Here is a 2,166-nt window from a genome sequence, read left to right on the forward strand (position 1 = left end):
TACTCTCTGATGTCCTATATCCAGCACATCATCAGGTCTTGTTGATTTTTCTTCTGAAGTAGCTCTTGAAACCATATACTTTCTTCCATTTTCTTATTACTGTCTGTAGGCCAGGTAATGTAGTGGTCATAAAATTAGACATAAATTGTGGTCTGTGAAATTAGACTTCTGTATGCCTCTTTTTTCATCTGTAAAATGGGTATTAATAGTAGTACCTATCTCATAGGGCTTTTGTAAGGCTTAAATGAGTCAATACACAAAGCATCTAGAAGTGTGCCCAGCATATATCGGTTATTCCCTACCATGATAATGCTCACTTGGGCCACTGCAGTAGTGGCTGTTTCAAATCACTACAGCCCATCTTTAGTATTTTCTCTTATCGTTACCGAGAATGAGCTTTTCACAACTCAAATTTGTCTTCTTGCTTAGAACATGTGAATAGGTTCCCATTGCTCCTAGAAAAAAGGTAGAAAAGCTTCGACATGCCGGTGACATGCTGCACGGCTTCATTTGCTGCCTCGTCATCCTCTTACTCTACATGCTCATGGCCACATGAGTCATCGTTCAGTTGCGCAAACATGCTGTCCTCACTCAGACATCCCCACCCTACTCACTGGATCCTTCCACTGGCCGTGCCCCTCACTCACAAACTTGCCTTCTCTCTCCTTATCTTCCAGTCCTTCTTTCAATTTCAGCACACAAATCACTTTCTCAGGGAAGTGTTCTTTGAACACAGCCCCCTTTCCAGACAAAGAGTTTGTCTGGAAAGACAAACTGTCACAGAGAAGTCTTCCTTTCCCTCAGTGGCCTGATCCCAGACAAGAATTGAACATTTGTTGGTGGATTTTTTTAAATTAAGTGCCACCATTCCCACTATGTTGAATTAATTAAACAATATTTCAATATAAAGTAGAACTTATATCAAAATAACATTTTAGCCTGCAATCTTTTTATTGGAATCTGAGAGTGTAAAATATAAAAGATGCCTTATTCCTGCCTAATGAGAATCTCCTGAAAGTGGCGATTTTCTTTAATCAGCAAACACAAAAGTGTATGTTAATGAGATACATATTTTTCAAGCCCCCTAATTCTGCATCTTCTGTGTCCATTTCACTCCTTCATCTCTTCTGCAAAGGTCAAAGGATCCTGTCCAGTGCTGCTGGAACAGCAGCTTGTGACCACGAGGTGGCGACAGTTTTCAAGAGTTGGCAGGTGAGGACGCCTTCTATTCCGGTCTGGTCAGGGGTGTGCTCCTTTAGAAGGGTGTCACTGGATGGAAATTTGTTTGGTAATTATGTGGCACCCTGTTTTGTGTCATAGGCATTTTACCTAGCCTTCTTTACCTAAAGCGGCTGGGGCGAGCATAGAAGCTGTTGATCAAACTGGAGCACTTGAGAGTGAATGGGAGGAGAGTGGACTATACATCATTGGGCCAGGACAACAGATACAAACCAGGATTGTTCTGGCCACACAGGGGCATCTTTTTTCTCCCTCTAAAGCCAAGTCAGGGGACAATATTTACAGTCTCTCTGACACCTACTGATGAAGGCTTGAAGTTGGAGAGAAAAGGAGCGCTCCCAAATAGCATTTGAATTTTATCTCCCTGTGTAGAACTCCAGAAAGCAAATCATTTCAGAAAATGAGTGAGGAGAGGATGATTGATTCAAAGGCTCACATATTTATTTGTTGGAGTCAGAGAAACCCTACCTTTGGTGAGATGTTTTGAAAATAATAAAGTTTATTTTTTTTTTTTAATTTTGTTTTGAGACGGAGTCTTGTTCTGTGCCCAGGCTGGAGTACAGTGGTGTGATCCTGGCTCACTGCAACCTCCACCTCCCAGGTTCAAGTGATTCTCCTGCCCCAGCCTCCAGAGTAGCTGGGACTATAGGCATGAGCCACCACTCCTGGCTAATTTTTGTATTTTTAGTAGAGATGAGGTTTCACCATATTGGCCAGGCTGGTCTCGAACTCCTGACCTCAGGTGATCTGCCTGCCTCGGCCTTGCAAAGTGCTGGGATTACAGGCGTGAGCCACTGTGCCCGGCCTAAAATAGTAAAGCTTTGTGTTGAAGTACCTCTCATTTGCAAACTCCTTTCGCGTATACTGCCTTCATTGAACTTCACAGCTCTGTGAGGGGTAAGGAAGGAAGGAAAAGTCTTATCCTTA

The 2,166-nt window shown here is 42.8% G+C and overlaps 1 annotated feature.

The window, feature by feature from the left end:
* Positions 1,067-1,116: an enhancer, noted in NCBI's record as "active region_23978". NCBI's record gives its function as "activates an Ori minimal core promoter by ATAC-STARR-seq in GM12878 lymphoblastoid cells {active_cell/tissue: GM12878}" and the evidence as "EXISTENCE:reporter gene assay evidence [ECO:0000049][PMID:35858748]".

Source organism: Homo sapiens, chromosome 6 (assembly GCF_000001405.40).
Source record: "Homo sapiens chromosome 6, GRCh38.p14 Primary Assembly".
NCBI classification, from domain to species: domain Eukaryota; kingdom Metazoa; phylum Chordata; class Mammalia; order Primates; family Hominidae; genus Homo; species Homo sapiens.